We start from the raw sequence: 24,302 nt of genomic DNA, 5'->3' as shown, positions 1-24,302 counted from the left end.
ATTTTTTCTTTACCATGGTCTTCTACTGCCCTGGTGAATAGGATGGACATCACAAGTCATATGTCATATATCCCAATACACATTCATTCACATACATACACACACACACAAATACACACACACATGTACATAAACTAAGCTATGGAAGCTGTTTAGAACATATAACTTAAAATTTTCCCCTTATAAAATATTTTATTCATCACATTTAGACTCTGCAGTAAAACTTGTGAACAGTTTGCCAACTGGCAGCCCCGGGGTCATATTATCTGCACATCGTTTTATTTGGCCTTCAGAATGCATTTTCATTTTTGAACACGGATAGAGCATGTAATCCTGGCTCCTCACATTCCCCATTATTCCTTTTTCTAAAATTCAGTCATTCCAGTCACTTATATATGCTGCCTGGCCCCTTTAAGCATTCAAGTATTGTATTAGGGACTTCTTGCATTGCTATAAAGAAATACCTGAGACTGGGTAATTTATAAAGAAAAGACGTTTAAGTGGCTCACAATTCTGCAGGCTGTATAGAAAGGATAGTGCCAGTATCTGCTTGGCTTCTGAGGAGGCCTCAGGAAACTTACAATCATGGCAGAAGGCAAAGTGGGAGTAGGCACTTCAAATGGCAAAAGCAGGAGCAAGAGAGAGAGTTGAGGGAGAGGGCCACAATTTTTAAATGACCAGATTTCACAAGCACCCACTGACTGTCGCAAAGACAGCACCAAGCCATGTGGGATCCACCTCCATGATCCATACACCTCCCACCAGACCTCACTTCCAACATTGGGGATTATATTTCAACAGGAGATTTGGGTGGGGACAAATATCCAAAGTATATCAAGTATGCAATCCCTGATTTAAGATATTGATAGGAAGGACCATATATCTCAGTATTAAAACACTCTTAGGGCTTCTCTCCTAACTCTAGAATCCAGGAGAATTCTTCCAACAGAGGCTAGGTGTATTTAATTTGGTACACATCTATTAGAAAATTTAAGAGGGAAATTTGCTTTAAAAACAGTTAAGTATGGGATGTTATCAGTAAGCATGAAAAAAAATTTTTAATAAAAAACAGTTGGGTAGAACAAAGTCAGAGGACTCACATTTCCTCATTTGAAAGTATACTACAAAGCTACAGAAGTCAAAACAGTGTGATACTGGCATAAAGACAGACATATAGACCAATGGCATAGAAAGCCCAGGAGTAAGCACTTGCATATATGGTCAAATGATTTTTGATAAGGGTGTGAAGACTAGTCAGTGGAAAAAAAGACAGTCTTTCCAACAAATGATGCTGGAAGAGTTGGATATATGCCTGTAAAAGAATGAAGTTGGACCCTTACCCAACAGCATAAACAAAATTAATTCAAGATGAATCAAAGACAAAGATGTAAGAGCTAAACCTATAAAACTCTTGGAAGAAAAAATTGCATAGAGGAAAAGCTTCATGACAATGGATGTGGCAGTGATTTCATATACATGACACCAAAGGCACAGGCAACAAAAGGAAAAACAGACAAATTGTACTTCATCAAAATTAAAAACTTTTGTACACCAAAGGGTCTTATCAACATAATGTAAAGGCAACCCTCAGAATGGGAGAAAATATTTGCAAATTACATATCTCATAAAGCATTAATACCCAGAATATATAGAGAACGCCTTCAACTCAGCAATAAAAAACTAAACAACTCAAGCCAGGTGTGGTGGCTTATGTCTGTAATACCGGCACTTTGGGAGGCTGAGTTGGGCGGATCACCTGAGGTCAAGAGTTTAAGACCAGCCTGACCAACATGGAGAAACCTCATCTCTACTAAAAATACAAAATTAGCTGGGCATGGTGGCACATGCCTATAATTCCAGCTACTCGGGAAGCTGAGGCAGGAGAATCGTTGAACCTCGGAGGCAGAGGTTGCAGTGAGCCGAGATCGTTCCATTGCACTCCAGCCTGGGCAACAAGAGCAAAACTCCATCTCAAAAAAACAAAAACAAAAAACGAAACAATTCAAAATTGGGCAAAGATCTTGAGCAGATAGTTCTCCAAAGAAGATAGGCAGATGGTCAATATACATATGAAAATATGCTCTATATAATGAGTAATCAGGGGGCCAGGTGCAATGGCTCATGCCTGTAATCCTAGCACACTGGGGAGCCAAAGCAGGTGGAGCTCTTTGAGCTCAGGAGTTTGAGACCAGCCTGGGCAATATGGTGAAACCCTGTCTCTATTAAAAAAAAAAAAAAAAAGTAATCAGGGAAATGCAAATCAAAGCCACAATGAGATGCCACTTGATACCCATTAGAATGAATAGTATCAAAAAAAAAAGAAAAAAGAAAACAACATGTTGGCTTAACTATGGAGAAATTGGAACCCTTGTGCATTGTTGGTGGGGATATAAAATGGTGTAGTGGCTGTTGAAAACCCAATGATGGTTTCTTAAAAAATTAAACAGAATAACAAATGGTCAAGCAATTTCACTCTGGGTATATACCCAAAAGAACTGAAAGAAGGGGCCAGGCGTAGTGTCTCACACCTGTAATCCAAGGATTTTGGGAAGCCAAGACGAGCGGATTGCTTGAGTCCAGGTGTTCAAGACCATCCTGGGCAACATGGTAAAACCTCATTTCTACCAAAAAAAAAAAAAAAAGTTAGCCTGGCATGGTGGCGTGTGCCCATAGTCCCAAATACTCAGGAGGCTGAGGTGAGAGAATCACCTGAGCCCAGGAAGTCAAGACTGCGGTGAACTGTAATGGCATCACTCCACTCCAGCCTGGGCAACCAGAGTGAGACTCTCTCTCAAAAAAAAAAGGACTCCAACAGATATTTGTACTGTCATATTCATATTCATAGCAACATTATTCACAGTAGTCAAAAGGTAGAAACAACCCAAATGTCCATTGATGGATGAATAAACAAAATGTAGTATGTACCTACAATGGAATATTATTCAACCTTAAAAATAAATTGTGATACATGTCATAACATGGATGAACCTTGAGGACTTTATGCTGAGTGAAATAAGCCAGGTATAAAAGGCCAACAAATATTGTATGATTGCATTTATATGAATTACTTGGAATAGTCAAATTCTTAGAACAGTAGTCACCAGGGTTGTAGGGGAGGTGAGATGAGGAGTTCTTTAATGGGTACCAAGTTTCAGTATGGGATGATGAAAATGTTCTGGAGGCAGACAGTGGTAACAATGTGAATGTACTTAATGCTACTGAACCGTACACTTAAAAATGGTTAAAGTGTTAAATTTTATGTTATATATATTTTACCACAATTATTAAAAAAATTAAGTGCTTTTAATTAATGACATGAAAATTAGTTTAGTACCTATTTGGTACACTTCTAACATATTAGAAGTGAGAACTGTGATTCTTCAAACCATTGTTTAAGGTCATTTAGGCAATTTTCCTTTGTTTACAAAAGATAAACACTTCACATGTAAGAAGTATTGCAGGTACATACCTAATATGTTCTTATACTACCACTTTCTATTATTTAAGTCAAACGTGATTTCTGGAAAGAAAGCATCTTTATTTGCCCTTTTGAATAAAATGTACAATAGAATAAGTCTCCAAAAAGAGTTCTGTAACAGATAGTTTTACTTATTCTGTTTTTCCCCACTTCCCCCATGGTCCTTGACTCTGGACCGATGGACTGACTTCTTTTTTTTGGTCCCATTGCCCAGGCTGAAGTGCAGTGGTGCAGTCTCAGCTCCCTGCAGCCTTGACCTCCCAGGCTCAGGTGATCCTCCCACCCCAGCCTCCTGATTAGCTGTAGGGACTACAGGCACGCAGCACCATGCCCAGCTAGCTTTTTATTTAATTAATTATTTATTTATTTATTGAGACAGATTTTTGCTCTGTCGCCCTGGCTGGAGTGCAGTGGCGCAATCTCAGCTCACTGCAACCTCCACCTCCCAGATTCAAGTGATTCTTGTGCCTCAGCCTCCCGTGTAGCTGGGATTACAAGCACACACCACCACGCCCGACTAATTTTTGTATTTTTAGTAGAGCCAGGGTTTTGCCATGTTGGCCAGGCTAGCCCCGAACTCCTGACCTCAAGTGATCCACCTGCCTTGCCCTCCCAGAGTGCTGGGATTACAGGTGTGAGCCACTGTGCCCAGCCTCCAGCTAGTTTTTTGGTTTTGTTTTGTTTTTTTTTTTTAGTAGAGAGACAGGTTTACCATGTTGCCCAGGCTGGTCTTGAACTCCCATACTCAAGCAATGCACCCACCTTGGCCTCCCAAAGTGCTGGGATTACAGGCATGTGTCACTGTGCCTAGCCACTGACTGACTTGTTCTTAATGAAAGCCATTTCCTAGTGAAAAGGAAGAGTATGGAAAGCACTCACATGTTAGAGCTCTAACCTAAGTCTTAAAGGAGTTTGATAGTTCAGCTCTCTGTTAGCATAACATTTGCACTAGTTTTCACTATTTTCATTTATATTAGGCTTATTTTGATCATTACATAAATGAAGGCTTATTTTATATTTTCTTGAGAGAGGTTCTTGCTCTGTCGCCCAGGCTGGAGTGCAGTGGCATGATCATAGCTCACTGCAGCCTCGACCTCCTGGGCTCAATCCTCCCACCTCAGCCTCCTGAGCAGGTGGAACCACAGGCACATACCACCACACCTGCCTAATTTTTTAATTTTTTTGTAGAGATGGGGTCTTACTGTGTTGCTCAGGCTGGTCTTGAACTCCTGTGCTCAAGTGATCCTCCCGCCTCGGCCTCCCAAAGGGCTGGGATTACAGGCATGAGCCACTGTGACCATCTGAAGTCCTATTTTATTTTTACAGAGAGTAGTTTATTTATTAAACCAATCTGTGAAGTCAAACTTCCTACCTTTTAAATATATTTTTTTAATTTTTAAAACTTTTAAAAGTTATTTTAAAATATATAATTACCTTCATATCTATATACATGGTAAAATGTACTTTATTGGCCTTAACCATGTGGTGAAAAAATGTACTTTGAAATTACATATTTACAATGGGACCAAAAAAAACCCACCTTACTGTACTTTATTTCTGCAAAACAATTTAAAAAGTGAACATCACAGTTTCAACTACTCATTTTAAAGAACTTTTATAATTCAGCAAATTTGTAAAGATTGGGTACTTCCAGAATCAAAGAACAATAATGCAGTTCACCTAACTTTCTGTAAAAAAGCAAAACTATCCCTTATATTTTTTCCTTCAGATTTTTAGCAGGCATTATAAGAAAAGTGGACAAAAGACTTGAACACTTTCGAAAGATGATATTCAGATGACCAATAAACATTTGACAAGTTTGTTATTATAATTTGCAGTTCTTTGCTTAAACATTTCTTTCTGTATCTTTATTGACTCTTGTGAATTATCTGTTTATGTGTCTTATCCATTTATGTTTTGTGGTGTTAAAAGTATTCTTATCATTTGTTAATATTTTAAATTTATTTCTAATTACACAAGTAAAACATAACCACATTGTTTTGAAAATATTATAATTACTGTTCTTGCTGATGTTACCCTCGATCATCAGTCTTAATCCTAGGCCCTTACTTAGTTCCAGTCCTGACAACCATTGTCAGTTTGACGTGTAGCCCTGTAAACCTTTGTGTGTGTCTGTGTGTGTGTGTTTTAGTACAAATCTGTCATACCATTGTTCTGTCGGAGCTCTTCTTATGTCAATACAGATGCATTCTATTTAATTGCTGCATAGTGCCCTAGTATACATATAGTCATAGTTTATTTAACTCTTCCCCTATCGAAGGACATTTGAGTTACTTTCACTTGTTTGCAATTACAAACAATGTTTCAGGCAACATCCTTTAACATTTACTCTCAGTCTTCCCCAGTGTAGTTATTGAGAAATTGAATTTCTAGGCAGAAAGTGAATGTACTTTTATTTTAATGGATATTGCCCAGTTGCCTTCTAAGGTAGCTGCTTCCAACTTAAACTCCTGCCAGCCCCCTACACCCTTATCAATAATTGGTATTATCACTGTAGTCCCAATTACTCTGGATTCTGGGGCACGAGAATCACTTGAACTTAGGAGGCAAAGGTTGCAGTGAGCCAAGATCACACAACTGTACTCCAGTCTGGGTGACAGAGCGAGACTCTGTCTCAAAAATAATAATTGGTATTATCAAACTCTTTAAGTTTTTTTGTATTTATTTATTTATTTATTTATTTTATTTTATTTTTTTTTTTTTTGAGACGGTATCTCGCTCTGTCACCCAGGCTGGAGTGCGGTGGCGCGATTTCGGCTCACTGCAGGTTCCACCTCCCGGGTTGACGCCATTCTCCTGCCTCTGCCTCCCGAGTAGCTGCGACTACAGGCGCCCGCCACCACACCCGGCTAATTTTTTTGTATTTTTAGTAGAGACGGGGTTTCACCTTGTTAACCAGGACAGTCTTGATCTCCTGACCTTGTGATCCACCCGCCTTGGCCTCCCAAAGTGCTGGGATTACAGGCATGAGCCACCGCGCCTGGCCGTTTTTTTCTGTTTTATAACTGGTTTCAGTTAGCATTTACCTGATTACTAGTGAAGATGAACACATTTTAATTTTCTTTTGCCTATTTGTCTTTATGTAAATTGCCCATTTACATCCTCTGCCCACTTTTACATTAGGCTGCTTTGGTTTTTTTCTATATTGATTTGTAGTTTGTAAGTCTTATTCCATTATCTTTGCTTATATATGTTGTGTGCGTTTTCTCCATATGTAAACTGTTTATACAACAAAACATAATCTTTTGTCATTTTTGTTGCATATTTCCCTACATCTGTTTGTCTTTTACTTGTTTCTTCTTTTTTTCCTGTTTAGTTTTTTCATATTTGGCATTATTTTCCTCCTTGAACATTGGACATATTCACCAGTGGAGCCATCTGGGCCTAAAATTTTTTTTTGTTGAAAGATTTCCAATTATAGTTTCAATTTCTTTTAATAGTTTACAGAACTATTCATATGTCCTGTTTATTTTTGTGCCATTGTTCGTAAGTTCTTTTTTTCTAGGAATCTGTCCGTTCATCTAAATTTTCAAATTTATTAGCAAAAATATAGTGATATCCTTTTACTATCTTTTTAATGTTTGTAGGATTGGTAGTGATGTTCCATTTTTCATATCTGATATTAATATTAGGATCTTTCTCCTTTTTTTATTATTCTTACCAGAGGTATCAGTTTTATTATTCTTTTTCAAAGAACTAGGTTTTGTTAATTCTCCCTGGCGAATGTTGATTTCACTTCATTCTTGACGAATATTTTCACTGGGTATAGAATTCTGGTTTGGTAATTATTTTCTTTCAGCCCTTTGAAAATATCATTCTATTGTTTTTTTGGCTTCCATTTTTCTCTTTCAGTCAGCTCTGTTTGAAAGTAATTGTCTTTTTTGTGGATAATTTGAATATTTTCTTTATCCTTGATTTTCTATAGTTCGAATAAGATATGTCTAGCTGTAATTTTCTTTTTTATTAGGATTGTGAGTTTTCATTTTATGTATATTTTGCACATAGAAATAATCAGTGATTATCTAATGGAATCAGACTTTCCTTTGGTAATTTATTTATTCTATGTGGGGAAAACTTTGCTGCTGTCTGCTACCAGATGTCAAACAAATTCTGTTCTGGCTTTTCTATGGAATCAGTTTTGGAGATCTAAATTGTTTTTAGTATTCTGTCTCCAAATTGATAATCAATTATTCTAGCAAAATTTAAAACATAATTTTAATTTAGCATTTATTTTAAATTTTTTTTGTGCATTAAATTCTTAAGTATAGTAATAGAGTCTGTTTTAGGAGTAGCTGTTTGATGTCTGTAGCTGCTTCTACTTGAATATGCTTTAGTCAATTTTATTTAATTTGTATTCCTCACCAATTTTCCAGGGCAGCACCCATGTTTTTCGTGTAAAGTGTCTGGTAAAGATGTGAAGCGTTGTTCTGTTGGTGCTTGTGGGAAATTTTATCATGAAGCCTGTGTCCGCAAATTCCCCACTGCCATCTTTGAATCAAAAGGATTCCGCTGTCCTCAGCACTGCTGCTCTGCCTGCTCTATGGAGAAAGATATCCACAAAGCAAGTAAAGGTAAAACAGCTGAAGAAGGAGACAAAGATTTTTGTTTTAAGGGCAGTGGCAAATAACATTATCAAGCATATATTACAAACAACATAAGGCATTCTTCTTCTGTGTATCTCTAGCTTTAACAGTTCAGCCACAGTACATACACAGTACATGTTAAGTAGAGATTACATTCTAAATTCAGACCATGAGAAGAAAATTCCATGTGTTCAAAATACCCTTGAAAGTCCTTCAGGTAGGTGCCATATTGGATACCACCGTCTCTGCAGCATTGGAACAAATAATTTTTTCTTTGGATGATCTCTACGTGACTATTAGGCTTACATTTAGGGGCCATATAGCATAGGATGACAGAGCCAGACTAGGGAAGAAAAAAATGCTTTCCATCTACTGTAACTAGCATCTCAGAGGGACCCAAAAAAGCCCAACTCCAGAAACTTATTTTTATGTCCCGCTGATGCCTTATTAGATTCCTTTTTGACTTGTCTTTAAACAGGCCGCATGATGAGATGTTTAAGATGTCCAGTTGCCTATCACTCTGGAGATGCTTGCATTGCGGCCGGAAGCATGTTAGTATCCTCCTACATTCTCATCTGTAGTAATCATTCCAAACGGAGCAGTAATTCTTCTGCTGTAAATGTAGGCTTTTGTTTCGTTTGTGCCAGAGGTGAGTGTCTGACTTTTCTCTTCATTTATTTTTGAGGTCATTGGCATATTTCTCCATTAACATAGAGTCTCAGCATTGGGAAAGAACTCAGGCCATCTAGTAGAATCTCCTACCCAGTGCAGAATTCCACTGTAATATATCCCTGAGAGAGATGAACATTTCCAGTAACTTTTATAATGCTAGATGTCCAAAGTGTTAGAATACTAATTCTTCCATAAGTTAAGCTAAAATCTGCATTTCTAAAAATAACAGAATTATAGTTAAGTTCTTAGTTTTTCTGTTTGGAGCATTAAAAGATTAATCTTTTCCCTTCTGCAAACAACTCTTCTATTCAAAGTAGATCCTTCCCATTTCATAATCTTAAACCAGAACTTTCAACTGATTGAGATTTCACTTGGAAGGCAAAACTAGCACATCCATTTTTCAGTTGTTTATGCTGTATTTTATCATAATGTTTTGGTCTGGCATTGAGGAGGGCCTGATGGGACACAGCCAAGGCAGCATATGTGGTGGTGTTAGTTCAGAGCCAGCCATGTGGGCTTTCTTGTTGCCAGCTGTTGACGTTTAAGTACACCAAGAGATTGATCAACTAAAAACAATACTGTAGCCCTACGGGGGTCAGTGAACTTGGGTTCATGATAAATATAAAATCAAACTTCTTTAGTTGAATGTTATACAGAATATCTGGCTTTATCTCAAGCCATATTATAATAAAACTTTTTTGGTACTTAGTAAGCATTATAAAAACTAACTAATATCCCTAAATATTGCTTTGGTTTGTTTTTAAGTGCAAAGTTTTCTGACTTTCCCTCTGAACTATTCTCAAGGCCTCTAAGGCCCATCATGCTTGTTAGATTCTATTTAGACCATACTGAACATGAAAGTGGTTTTTGTTTGGTTGGTTGCTTTTGCTTTAGGAGACAGTTATTTTAATTTGGTGAAAGTACTATAACAACTTTCTAAAATAGAATTTAGGTAGTATGATAGATCTTAGGTGGTTTTGCTTTTGTGTCTCTCATTATGAAAACATTACTTGGAGGTAGGCAGTAAAAGATTAAATAAATCGTAGTCCTTTGTGGAGTAGCTAGCAGGGTCTGTAGTAGACACTACTTTCTGTTTGCCTGTTTTATAAGCACATGTGACTGTCTGCCTTTGGAGCAGGAAGTACTGTGTCTTTCTTAACTACAGCAGTGTCAAATGTATCCTGCTCTGAAACCTGGCTGGTATCATGGAGGAGTAGGTCTGAAATGTTTCCTGCTATATCGTAACAGGTGGGCAAATAATAAATAAAAAGGTGTCACTCATTGCCTTTCCCATCTCTGCATTCCTAAGAAAGTAATGATTAGAAGAAAAAATTATTGTATTATCAGTTGAATGTTTAGCTTTAGAGTCTTTTAAACGGATGAGTGGCAGTGATAACATAAAGTCTCTTATTGCTTTGCAAACTCTATGCTACCATTGCTGGGCACTGACATTTCCTGTCAGTGTATAAGCATGCATAATTTAGCCCGCATTTTAATATCAAGTTTATAACTATTATGTTGGCTTATGTTGGGGCACATTCTGAATCAAATGCCATCAGTAGATTAATTAATATTCTCTTTTGCTCTACTTCATTCAATAATTGGGATACCTTTAAAATAGGTATTTTCAGGCTGGGCACAGTAGCTCACGCCTGTAATCCCAACACTTGGGAGGCTGAGGCAGGAGGATTGCTTAAGGCCAGGAGTTCAGGACCAGTTTGGGCAACATAGCAAGACCCCATCTCTACAAAACATAAAGGAATTAGCCAAGCATGGTGGTGTGTGCCTGTGGTCCCAGCTACTCGAGAGGCTGAGGAGGGAGGATCACTTGACCCCAGGAGTTCAAGACTGCAGTGAGTTGTGAAACAAAATATAGTATTTTCAATTTAGGACAGCTAGAAAATTGTACGCTTATAGAAACTCTAGCCACTTTGTTAAATTTAACTTACATAACTTGATTAAATTCTGAGAATAATGTAAGTGGAGGGAAAACCCATGTTTAACAACAGAATCTGTATTTACATCTTAACAATTTGACGGTTATCCAGGAATATTTACTGAATTTAAATGCCTGTTTAAGCAAAATTATTTAATTCCCACATATTTTAACTGTGAAACTTTGTATGGTAAACATAACCTTCATTTTATTTTCTAGCATTTGACAAAGACTTACTCTAAATAGATCAGATGCTGGGAAGGCTTAAATCAAAAGTCTTTCAGAAGTAAATAATATGTGTTCTTTTATAAGTATTTATAAAGGTCACCTTTTTTAAGGAGACATAACTGTAATAAATCCACACACAGAAAGGAGCACTTTAGTCATTTCTGTTTGGGTATTAGAAAACTTAGCTTGTTTTGCTTGTTTCTTGCCTTATACAGAATTTTTCCCTCCACATAGATTTTCTCTTAGTTCTTGGTTATTGGGTGTTTAAAATCATTAAGCTATTTCTTAAGGACTACAATGTCTGGAAATATTTTTTGAAATGTTTCAGGGTTTGACATCACTCCTCTTCCACATGCCACCTAATCGTGGAGTCACAAGAAGTGTGCGGACATTTTTCAGTGTAGTGCACATTCTTTAGCATCTCCTTTCATCTTAGAGGGTTGTGTAAAATAAGTTACTTAACATTCTATGCCTTTCTTTGTAATGGTAATTTTAAATGGATAATGTAGGCTGGAGTTTTCTTTTCATTTTAACAGTAAATAATAGCAATTTATTTTGCATATGTAAGTCAAACTTTACTAAACATTATCTGAATGAATTGCCACAGTTTCCCTAAGAAGTTATCTCTCCATAGTATACAGGTGAGAACACTGAAACCTAGATTAAATAATTTACCTAATGACACACAAGTTGTTAAATGGAGGGACTAGTATTTGTACTTAATCCTTCTTATTTCAAAGCCCATATTCCTTTACACTACTCCATCTCCCTCTATTAAATGTACAAAGTTCATTTCAACATTATATAACTTTTTTTTTTGAGACAGAGTTTTGCTCTTGTTGCCCAGGCTGGAGTGCAATGGTGCAGTCTCAGCTCACTGCAACCTCTGCCTTCTGGGTTCAAGCGATTCTCCTGCCTCAGCCTCCCAAGTAGCTGGGATTACAGGCATGTGCCACCACGCCTGGCTAATTCTTTTGTATTTTTAGTAGAGATGGGGTTTTTCCATGTTGGTCAGGCTAGTCTCAAACTCCCGACCTCAGCTGATCCGCCTGTCTCGGCCTCCCAAAGTGCTGGGATTACAGGCGTGAGCCACCATGCCCAGCCCATATAACTTTTATTAGAAGACTCTGGCTGAGCACCATGGCTCATGCCTGTAATTCCAGCATTTTGAGATGCTGAGGTGGGAGGATTGCTTGAGCCCAGGAATTCAAGACCAGCCTGGGCAACATAGCAAGACCTCGTTTCTACAAAAAAATCAAAAACGTAGCCAGGCATGGGGACAAATGGCTGTAGTCCTAGCTACTCGGGAGGTTGAGGTGGTAGGATCACTCGAGCCCAGGAGGTTGAGGCTGCAGTGAGCTGTGATCTGCCACTGGACTCCAGCCTGGGTGACAGAGCGAGACCCTGTCTCAAAAAAACAAAACAAAAAGAAGATTGTCATATTGTTAGTAATTTCAAGTTCCATTCTGTTATTTAGGTCAGAGATATTTCTTGAATTCGTCTCAGTGTAGAGTATGAAGACAATGCCCACAGAAAAAAGTAAATGGTAATTTCCCTCCCCTTCAAAATGATCTCTTAAATAAAACTGCTGCCGTAATTTGTATTGTAAATCCTACATCATTATACACTGATCCAGTAACCAAGATAGAGGATAGAGAAATGTCCCCTGGTCTCACAGTTGCCTAGGTTTAGGAGTGGCTTATAGCTACATCATGAATTAACTGGGGGAGGGGTAAGGGAAAGAAGAGGGAACCACAGGTAGCTTTAGTGTTTTCCTCCAAGTAGCATAGCTGTAATTGGTAGATCAAAAAGATTGTTTTTATTAACGCTTAAGTTGGTAATCCTTTTATATTGTGGCAGGGAAAAAATGAAAATGTTTGCATTACCTCAGTAAAGTTCAGGAAATTATGGCTCCTTTAAAATCATGTACCAGGCCTGGCACAGTGGCTCATGCCTGTAATCCCAACATTTTGGAAGACCAAGGTGGGAGGATTACTTAAGGCTAGAAGTTAGAGACCAGCCTGGGCACAAAAGCTATTATAGACCCCATCTCTACAAAAAAATTTAAAAATTAGCCTGGTGTGGTGGCATGTATCTGTAGTCCCAGCTACTCGGGAGGCTGAGGCCAGAGGATCGCTAGAGCCCAGAAATTCAAAGGTGCAATGAGCCATGATCACACCACTACCCTCCAGTCTGAGTGACAGAGCAAGACTCTGTCTCAAAAAATATATATATAATATAAAATGAAATAAAACATGTACCATATTGATAGAGAAGAGTTTCATTATCTGGCAGAGAAAGTTAGGATTTCTTTGAGTATGTCTGAAGATATGAATAGAAAAAAGGAGAGACTTCCATTCTGCATTAAAGTGCTACTTGATATATTGAAGGTAGATCAGGGTCTACTTATGTAAATGATTCTTATTTCTATCTCATTACATGATATATAATATCATTTTGTTCTTTGGGCTGTCGTCATTGTACATCCAAATACGAAGCAGTGTAGCTTTGTTTTCCCTAAGGGGTTTTCTGTATGATGTCAAGTGTTTATATCTTCAAATTATTTGAAGTTTTCTTCTGCAGAATTTAGGTTTCTATAATATATAGGGATAAGGAATTGAGTAGTTCAGACTCCCTTTGAAAACTGTAGAAAACCTTTCTGTCAGATCTTTCTTTTTTCTTCATATTCTCATTTTCGCCCTCCCCACCCCAGCTTTGAAGCATACATAATAGGTGTTGGTTTATTTTTTCCTCATGGAATCATGGGTAGTTTCATTGCAGCTCATCTCTTTCTGTTTGTTTCGTATAGGGCTGATAGTTCAGGACCATTCAGACCCCATGTTCAGTTCATATGCCTATAAGTCCCACTACCTACTGAATGAATCAAATCGTGCTGAGTTGATGAAATTACCTATGATTCCTTCTTCGTCAGCTTCCAAAAAGAAATGTGAGAAAGGTAATAATCAAAATAGTTTCTCTTGCTTTTATTTTTGCATTTCCTATTTTTTTCTCTTTCAATATAGGGGGGAAATGTATGCCTGTCAAGCACCATCTGTTGCTTTTGGTAAATTCTGCCTTGGTGGTTGTGACTGTTTCTTCATATGGCTGCACAATTATTAAAAAGGGCTTAAAATAATTCCATTGTTGCACATTTTTACATACTCTTCCCTTGAATAAATTTTTACACATTCCATATTTATAAGTTATTAAAATAGGAAGACTAGGATTTTGGTCAGTATAAATATAGAATCATATTCTAAATGTTCTTTCTCTTTTTCCTGGTGTGAAACTATCATTCAAGTTGGAATAGAAAAGATAGGGTATAATTTGTTACTAACTTTCAACTAAATAACAAGGTAGGTTATTAAAAGAGGGAAACTAAGATACTGATACTTGAAAGTTTGCTTTTAGAATATGTTCTGTCATTGGGCTTCTTAAATGTTTGGTTAAGATGCTATGAAAACTAGTTGCCCTTCCCTTAGGAGACATTGGTGGGAAGCTGGTTGGGGAGAATACCCCTAATACTGGATGCTGGAAGGCAGCCCAGCTGAATTGCTGATGGATAATTATCCACACAGTACCAAGAGCTAAATGGATATTTCTGTTCTCCCAGTTAATTTAACCTATGGAAGAAAACTTTATATTGTGTTTAGTTTTCCATAGCCTACCTGTTATAAAAATGATTTAACAATGATGTATTATTTGGGGAGTTATTATCCCACTGGGAAAAATAAATGAGCTTGAAAGGTGAGGGCCTTTTCCTGTGTACATTCCCATTATGATCTGGGGCCAAGTTCAGAATCTTTAAAGAAAACTTCATTCATAACTAATATACTCTATACACACACACACACACACACACACACACAGTAGGTGTATTTGAAATGGGCTTTTGAAAAAATTCTTTGTGTTGCCTGTTTGATGTATCTTTGCTCTTTGTCAGACATCTGAAGTGGCAACTCATGACTAAAAGAAAGTGAGACTAAGCAAGTCGATTGGAACATATTAGAAGTATTGGAGAGAGTACTGGCTTTTTTGTCTGTTTTCTGCAGTCAGATTATATCACCTTATTGATAATACTGCCTACTTCCAAAACAAAAAAATGAACATAGGTTTGACTTACTCCATAATTATTCTGCCTGAGACATTTTAGGAAATGCTTTATTTTCTTGCTGGTACCTATATAAAATTAGATTAATTCAATTGTTGCTTACTTTGTTTTCAGTACTCAGTATTAACTTTGACATGAATTGAAATTATTTTGAGCCCTCTGTTTGCTTAACTTGAACCATATCTTACTTCTCTTGTATCCTAGTTTTCTTGCATAGCACCAAGGTGGACCATTCACATTTTTTTTTATTTCCCTTGTGTATTTTAAGCATCTTTATCATGATGATTTTCTCTGATGATTCTGGCTCTGTATTTCCTCTGAAATAAGACTTAAAATTAAGAACTATTCCATAATGTTAAAAATGGCCAGCCTGACTTTTCTAGGTCAGTACTAATAATCACATGTCCTCTAAAGCTGTTTGCAGACTTTTCTCCCTGCTGGTCATTCCTTTCTGATGGAAAAAAAAAATGAATAATCTCATTTTACTTTAAATTTATAGACAAATTCCCTCCCTAAGTGTAGAGCACTTGGGCATCTGATCTCTAGGTTGGTAAATTGAATCAATTAATCTATACTGAGATGTAGTCCCAGAAAAAAAATCTTGATGATTGAAGTAAAAGCTTTTAAGCAGAGGAAATACAGTGATTTAATTCATCATGGGTTGTATATGGATTTTCTTTTTGTTTTTATGTTAATCAGAAGTTTGAAAATTTATAGGAAGACAAGATTTTCTGGAAAATTGGTAGCAAGCCCTCAGAAGGTTGGAGCATGTGATTTGATAAAGTTGCATAGAGGGCTCTTACCCTTTTGCTTATGAGACTTTAAATCTTCGTACACTCATGGGTTATAGACCTGATTTTCCAATGAAAAGATCAATTTTTTTCAATAAATATTTGTCTTTATTATATTTCATCTTCAGTGGTTAACATTCGCTGTCACGTATTGAAATACATATTAGAAATACCTAATTTCCTCCCAGAATTTCATATTTCTTAGCATTTACAACTATTTTGTTTGCCACACCTGTTTTGGTCTCAATCCAGAGAGTATTTTGTGTATCTAAAAGGAAAGAGTTTTGATAGGGAACTTGGAATTAGCTCCTTGCATATGGTACTTCATTCTATACTGATAACTACTTAATTTTATGCTATAAAGCAGTGGTTCTCAATATGAAGTCAGAAGAGACTTATGTAAACAAAATTTTTGAACTATGTTTAATATTTCAGAAAATCTAACAATTACACATTTGTACAGAATCAAACTGCATGAGTTTTTAAAATTTGGCTATGATTTTAACAATTTAATGGGATAATACTAGTTTTGTTATTGGGATCAGAATCTCTGATTGGCAGTTATATATTTCTTTGGTTAATAAAAATCGGAGAAATTGTTACTTTTAAAATGCAGATTTTGGCCAGGCATGGTGGCTCACGCCTGTAATCCCAACAGTTTGGGCGGCTGAGGCAGGAGGATTGCTTGAGGCCAGGAGTTCAAGACCAGCCTGGGCAAGATAGAGCCCGTCTCAAAATATATTCTCTGTATATGTATATATATAGAGAGAATACACACACATACACACACACACACACACACACACACACACACACACACACAGAGGGAGAGAGAGAGAGAAAGAGAGGTTTTTTGGTTGTTGATAAAATATTTGAAATTATGTGGGTTCATGAGGAGGGAAAAGGGAATCCTTGGTGATGAAAAAGTTGCAAACCACTGCTGTATAGCCTGTAAATCTTCACCAAAAGGTAATGATAACATAATCACCAATTTGAGATTCTGTGTTCCTTTTGCTTTTTGTATTCTTTATGGAAAGAAAAAAGTACTGATCAACCTATTGGCTATTTTTTTGCTTGCTAATTATATTGTAAAGGAATTTAGTTAACCATGGCACTGGATTAAAATACAACGATGACTTGCTTTCTTTCTTACCTCTGAAGGAGAAAAGAAAGTTGCTACTTACATGTTTGAAAAACCTCTCAAATCTACTCAGTCAAAAGATTTTATGCTTCAATTTGGTCATATGTTAAGAGTTTAGCTTCTAAACTGATACCTCAGTAGCCCATAGTTTAAAGGAGTAAAGAGTACATGGATGCTTTTGGTACTACTCAGAAGCTCTGAGTTTCTGGCCACTGAAACCCTGAAAAGTAGCTAAATACGTTCACTTGCTATTTTAATCCATCACTGTAGATATGACTCAGTCCCTTTGTTATTTTCCCCCAATTTGAAACAAATTTAATGTGCTGAAAAGATAACTTTCTCCTTTTTCTTTCTTTTTCTCTCTCCTCTTTTCTCAGTTATTAAGACTGTTTATTTGTTTCAAGGTGGAAGATTGCTCTGCTGTGAATCGTGCCCAGCTTCCTTCCACCCGGAATGCCTAAGCATAGAAATGCCAGAAGGCTGCTGGAATTGTAATGACTGTAAAGCTGGCAAGAAACTACATTACAAGCAGATTGTTTGGGTCAAATTGGGAAATTACAGGCAAGTTTTTCCAAGAACAAAGAGGAAGTATTCAATCATTGTGCAGACCAGTTTCATACTCTGGATACAGAGTGACTTGGAGATAGATAGGTAGACAGCATGGACCTACTTCCTTAAAAAAAAAAAAGAAAAGAACCATGTTTTGAGGCTGGGTTCTTAAGGGGTTGGGAAGGTTATGTTCCTAATTCATTATTGAATTTCTTTTTCTTTTTCTTTGGGATTGGTTGGTTGATTGTTTGTGAGGCGGTTTGGCTCTATCACCAAGGCTGGAGTGCAGTGGTATCGCAGCTCACTGCACCCTCCACCTGCTGGCTGAAGCCATCCTCCCACCTCAGCCCCCAAAGTAGCTGGGATTACAGGTTCACACCACCACCCCTGGCTAGTTTTTTGTATTTTTAGTAGAGACAATGTTTCGCCATGTTGCCCACGCTGGTCTCAAACTCATGAGTCAAGCAATCTGCCCACCTCAGCCTCCCAAAGTGCTGGGATTATAAGCATGAGCCACCATGCCCACCAACTTTTGTTTTTAAGTCCTGAAAGTTGTTTTATACTAATGGGCTATGTACTACTAGATTTTGGAATAAAAGGTCTTATATGGACAGTGGAGATGATTTTTTTTTTCCAAAAAAAACTTTTTTTTTTTTTTTTTTTTGAGACGGAGTGTTGCTTTGTCGTCCAGGCTGGAGTGCAGTTGCGCGATCTTGGCTCACTGCAAGCTCCGGCTCCCGGGTTCATGCCATTCTCCTGCCTCAGCCTCCCGAGTAGCTGGGACTACAGGCGCCCGCTACCATGCCCGTCTAATTTTTTTGTATTTTTAGTAGAGATGGGGTTTCACTGTGTTAGGCAGGATGGTCTCGATCTCCTGACCTTGTGATCCGCCTGCCTTGGCTTCCCAAAGTGCTGGGATTGCAGGTGTGAGCCACCACGCCCGGCCAAAAAAAAACTTTAAAAATTTTTTTTTAATTTAAATTGAATAAATATAGTGAGATGGGGACTCATTATATTGCCCAGGCTGGTCTCGAACTCCTGGGCTCAAGCGATCCTCCTGCCTCAGCCTCCCAAAGTGCTAGAATTATAGGAATGAGCCACCACACTTGGCCAGAGATGATATTTTCTTTGTGTCTTAATTAGATATATGTTGATTTCTGATTTCTAATAAAATCAAGTTTATATTCTGGTCAAAATAGCTCTTTGCCCCTGAATCTCGTCCATTTTAGCCCTAAACCATGTGTAAAGAGAAAACTTTTTAGAATTTAAGGAGAGATTATTCCATTAAGAGGCTTTAGTCTTAAGGGAATGAAGCAGGAAGTATGTGAGTACCATTATTTTAATAGTACTTTCTCCTTTAAGGCTTCAACGAGCCTTTGCTGAACAGGTATAGTGATACAGTTTTAAAACTTGGCCAGGTACAGTGGTTCATGCCTGTAATCCTAGCACTGTAGGAGGCTGGGGCAGGTGGATTGCTTGAGCTGAGGAGTTCAAGACCAGCATGGGCAACGTGACAAAACTCTGTCTCTACAAAATATATACAAATTAGCTGGGCATAGTGGCGTGCCATGTGTGGTAGCATCATAGCTACTCGGGAAACTAAGTCTGGAGGATTGCTGGAGCCCAGGAGGTTAAGGCTACAGTGAGCCATGATTGTGCCACTGCACTCCAGGCTGGGCAACAGGGCAAGACCCTGTCTCAGAAAAAAACAACAACAAAAAAACACAATTAAACTAAAAAACTCTACATTTTGAGGCATATATTTATCATTTTACAAAGAAAATAGATACTATTCAAGATAGCACAATAGAGTTCTGCTTTTCAGTTAGAATCCTAGGTAAAATATATTTCTCTTTTTTTTTTTTTTTTTTTTTTTTTTTTTTTTGAGACGGAGTCTCACTCTGTCACCCAGGCTGGGATGTAGTGATATGATCTCTGCTCACTGTAACCCCCACCTCCCAGGTTCAAGCGATTCTCCTGCTTCAGCCTCCCAAGTAGCTGGGATTACAGGCACCTGACACCACGCCTGGCTAATTTTTGTAATTTTAGTACAGACGGGGTTTCACTGTGTTGGCCAGGCTGGTCTCGAACTCCTGACCTCAGCTGATCCGCCCGCCTCGGCCTCCCAAAGTGCTGGGATTACAGATGTGAGCCACTGTGCCCGGCTCTAAAATATATTTCTAGAAAATTTTAAATATACTGTAATTTTTTTAGCAAGAGCTATGTTTGTTCTCCCTCTCTCTTTTTAATTTTTTTTTTGAGACAGGGTCTCGCTCTGTTGCCAGGCTGGAGTGCAGTGGTGTGATCTTGGCCCACTGCAGCCTCTGCCTGCTGGATTCAAGCAATTGTCCTGCCTCAGCCCCCCGAGTAGCTGGGACTACAGGCACGCTCCACCACGCCTGGCTAATTTTTGTATTTTTAGTAGAGACGGGGTTTCACCATGTTGGCCCGGATGGTCTCAATCTCTTGACTTCCTGATCCACCGGCCTCAGCCTCCCAAAGTGCTGGGATTACAGGCATGAGCCACTGCACCCAGCCTGTTCTCTCTCTTTTACATATGTTAGACATGTTTACCCATTTAAATTTTAGAACTTCATTTTTAGCTGAGATCTGGGGTATTGAAATCAAACCTCCCCCCACTTCTTTTTCTTTTTCTTTTTTTTTTTTTTTTTGAGACAAAGTCTTGCTCTGTCCCAGGCTGGAGTGCAGTGGCACGATCTCGGCTCACTGCAACCTCTGCCTCCTGGGTTCAAGCGATTCTGTTGCCTCAGCCTCCCAAGTAGCTGGGATTACAGATGCATGCCATGACGCCTGGCTAATGTTTGTATTTTTTTTTGAGACAGAGTCTCGCTCTGTCGCCCAGGCTGGAGTGCAGTGGCGCGATCTTGGCTCACTGCAACCTCCGCCTCCCGGGTTCAAGTGATTCTCCTGCCTCAGCCTCCCAAGTAGCTGGGATTACAGATGCATGCCATGATGCCTGGCTAATCTTTGTTTTTTTTGTTTGTTTGTTTGTTTTTTTGAGACAGAGTCTCACACTGTTGCCCAGGCTGGAGTACAGTGGCACGATCTTGGCTCACTGCAAGCTCTGCCTCCCGGGTTCACGCCATTCTCCTGCCGCAGCCTCCCAAGTAGCTGAGACTCCAGGCACCCGACACCACACCTGGCTAATTTTTTGTATTTTTTTTTTTTAGTAGAGATGGGGTTTCACCATGTTGGCCAGGATGGTCTCGATCTCCTGACCTCGTGATACACCCGCCTTGGCCTCCCAAAGTGCTGGGATTACAGGCGTGAGACACCGTGCCTGGCCTAATCTTTGTATTTTTATTAGAGACGGGGTTTCACCATGTTGGCCAGGCTGGTCTTGAACTCCTGACTTCAAGTGATCTGCCCGCCACAACCTCCCCAAGTGCTGGGATTACAGGCCTGAGCCACCACACCTGGCCAATACAGTATGTTTTTAATACCTGGGAAGAAATACATCTAATGTTAATAGTGTCAAGGATGAGATTACAAGAAGAGGCATTTTCACTTTTCTACTATACATTTCTGCATTGTTTTAATTTTTAGAAGAAGTGCATACTGCTTTCATAATTGAAAAATATGTATCTTTCTGGCATGGAGAAGGGTGCACAGTTTGAAAATTAATACATTTAAGACATTTCTAGATAAGAAATATCTAAAACAATGTAAGAAGCCTTCAGATCTTCAAATAAACTTCAATTTTTTTAAAGTTATGGATATAAAAATGTCTTTGATTTATTTTAACACTTAAATTTTAATTATATTACATTTTAAAGAAACCCAAAACAGTGCTCCAATTAAATTCACAGTCCAGTGAGATCTTATATCTAGGTCAGATTCTTCTTGTATGTTTTGGAAAGACTTCCATCCGTGAACTAATTCTTAATGTATTTCTTTCCAGTCAGGCCCAGTGGGGCTGCATGAAGCTGTTTATTTTCAATAACTAGTTATTCCAATGTGTTGCTTCTTGGGGGAAAATATGAGGACCTGGAACAAACCCAGGCAGAACATGTGACTCTTCCTAACTGACGTTAGTGAAGGCAGTAACTGTATACATATTTAATTACCTTAAAGTTGTTTAGAAATAAATAGAGCCTGCTTTGAGAACGAACCAAGTATCAATCACAGAAAATATTGGTTTTTGTTTTGTTTACAATTTGCGCATGGATTCTTACCCATGTTTTCAATTCTTAGATGAACAGCAGAGTACCTTTCAGGTGACACTTTATCAAGTTCTGCAATATAAATCTGGGAGTGCAATCATGTCATCATTTATCTTCTCAATAATACAGTTATGTGTTAAAAATTGTTTTATTAAGCATATGTAAAATAAGAGATTCAAAAAATTTAAGTCTATGTATATTTACTACAAAAGCCCATGAGGTTGGCCTCATTTTCTGACTGTTAGCTTCATCATTCAATTCTTAACTTGTCTGCTTGCTAGAAACTGTCAGATTTCCTCACAGATGGTTTCATTTAGTGACTGCTGTAGTATTCAATTATCATAGCCTGAAACAGTTATATTTTCATTCTGTCCACTATTCCATGTTTAATTATGATCTAAGATGAATTAGATTCTGAAATACAAAGTGATATAAAACCTAGTACATTTGACCAAGAGGTGTTTGCCCAGGTTGACTCGAGACTAAATGCTGATTTGAATGGGAGTGGCCATTCTTTATGATAGCATCAGTTTATTCTCAAAATGATTCCATTGACTACTAGAAATAAACTGTTATACCTTGAAAGATAATCTCAGTATTAAGTTTGGGGGGAAACATGACTTTTCTAGGATTGAAATTAGGTTTGGAATATCATTGGGTAGTAGGTTCAGTATTATTACATTTTAGAACATTTTCATGATATATATTTTATAAATATGAAATATTTTTTAAAAGAAAGTAGATCAGGTGTTTAGGGCCTAATTTGTTTAGTCTGTGTTCACTATTTCATTAATTACTTTTTATAATGATGTGTGGTATTTTATGTTCTTAGAATCTGAATGAAAATTGCAAAATACAAAAACTTTTTTCCCTTCTGCCAATCTTGTAAATAGTGGTTTTTTGTTTCGTTTTTGCCCTCTTGATCTAAAATTGCTTTTGTTTTCAGATGGTGGCCAGCAGAGATCTGCAACCCCAGGTCTGTGCCACTGAACATCCAGGGCCTTAAACATGACTTGGGGGACTTCCCTGTATTCTTCTTTGGTTCTCATGACTACTACTGGGTACACCAGGGCAGAGTGTTCCCTTATGTTGAAGGAGACAAAAGCTTTGCTGAAGGGCAGACTAGTATTAACAAGACCTTCAAAAAGGGTAAGCTGGATGATGTTTACAGTGACTCAAAACTACAACTCCGGTGTCAGTTTCTCAACATCTCCTCACCTCCCTAATATTTCTGGTATTAGAGAATTTTCACTAGACATTATGATCCTGTGTCCATAAGCTTCCAGTCACATTAGAACCAGGTTTAAAATACATTTCAATATTGTAGACTGTGCTGTGTATTTGAAAGGAATTTCTTCAGTGTCTTTCTATAAACACAGATTATTCTAGGAATAGTCTTTTTTTTTTTTTTAGACAGGGTCTCACTCTTGCCCAGGCTAGAATGCAGTGGCATGATCACAGCTCACTGCAGCCTTGAACTCCAGGGCTCAAGTGATCCTCTTGCCTCAGCCTCCCGAGTAGCTGGGGCTACAGGTGCCCACTATCATGCCCAGCTAATTTTTGTACTTTTTATAGAGATAGGGTTTCACCATGTTGCCCAGGCTGGTCTTGAACTCCTGGGTTCAAGCGATCTGCCCACCTCAGCCTTCCAAAGTGTTGGGATTATAGCTCTGAGCCACCAAGCCCAGCCTGAGAATAGTCTTTTTAATCAAGTGAAGTTCCTTTGCAACAGAAGAGTAGTAAAGACTTGCCATGAAAAGCCTTACAACTGCTTTTGCAATGAGTTGCCAGCAAGTTTGGCTTTCTGGTAAGGGTAAAATGAATTTAAATCTATTACAAGGCAAAAAGCTGCTCTTAGGGTCACTTGGAGACTTCTGATCATTGAAGTAGAGCCTCTTCCCTGTGGCTACAGCATGCACAGAGCATAGTGTTCAGTGAGTTATATCCTATTTCTTTGTTACCCCATCCTGGTGGTAAACAGTAACTTCCAGAAAATAATTCTAAAAAGAAAAATCTCAGGCCAGATGCAAAGCATTGGGAAGGCAGCGTAAAACTACTATCCCATCAATTTTCCTTTGGTTTTTGGTATTTACATACTTTGTATCATCTTATTGGCAGCACTGGAAGAAGCTGCAAAACGTTTCCAGGAATTGAAAGCACAAAGAGAAAGTAAAGAAGCCCTAGAGATTGAAAAAAACTCAAGAAAACCCCCTCCCTACAAACACATCAAAGTAAGTCTTTATCTCTGGCCTGGGATTGCCAAATAAAATAAGAAACAAAGTAAGTCTTTACTATGAAAGCATTGTTATTTAATAGATGAGACGAAATGCATTACTCTTTAGTAGTTAAAGACCCTCTTTGACTTGTGCAAACTTTTGCTAATTATCACAGTCTTCTGTAAAACAGAGCTTCTGTTGGAAGCATCAAATGGGAGCCATAGTTATTGTGCTGTGAAAATTAGGTCTTTGATAAGTCCTCTCATACCTAGTAGCAACATGTCTTATGTGAAATCCTGTTCTTGTTCTACCAGGTTATCCCGCCACCAAATGAGAATATAGGTGTTTACTCCCTTTATTTCAGAGAACCCACAAACAAGCGTATTTTCTCT

General features: G+C 38.1%; 1 protein-coding gene across 1 annotated transcript in view, besides 1 other annotated feature; it reads left to right on the top strand.

The window, feature by feature from the left end:
* The window catches only part of NSD3 (nuclear receptor binding SET domain protein 3), a 112,568-nt gene that overhangs the window by 68,954 nt on the left and 19,312 nt on the right, over window positions 1-24,302 (top strand). Inside the window, exons 13-18 of the mRNA NM_023034.2 lie at window positions 7,873-8,070; window positions 8,561-8,731; window positions 13,728-13,874; window positions 17,366-17,522; window positions 22,641-22,843; window positions 23,813-23,925. Of these exons, the coding sequence (NP_075447.1) occupies window positions 7,873-8,070; window positions 8,561-8,731; window positions 13,728-13,874; window positions 17,366-17,522; window positions 22,641-22,843; window positions 23,813-23,925 (989 nt within the window). The remainder of the gene's footprint in view (window positions 1-7,872; window positions 8,071-8,560; window positions 8,732-13,727; window positions 13,875-17,365; window positions 17,523-22,640; window positions 22,844-23,812; window positions 23,926-24,302) is intronic.
* Window positions 9,773-9,922: a silencer, noted in NCBI's record as "silent region_19120". NCBI's record gives its function as "represses an Ori minimal core promoter by ATAC-STARR-seq in GM12878 lymphoblastoid cells {active_cell/tissue: GM12878}" and the evidence as "EXISTENCE:reporter gene assay evidence [ECO:0000049][PMID:35858748]".

The sequence above is a fragment of the Homo sapiens genome, chromosome 8 (genome assembly GCF_000001405.40).
Source record: "Homo sapiens chromosome 8, GRCh38.p14 Primary Assembly".
NCBI lineage: Eukaryota > Metazoa > Chordata > Mammalia > Primates > Hominidae > Homo > Homo sapiens.
The sequence above is the reverse complement of the archived record's forward strand: the minus strand, read 5'-3'. Positions and strand labels throughout refer to the sequence as shown.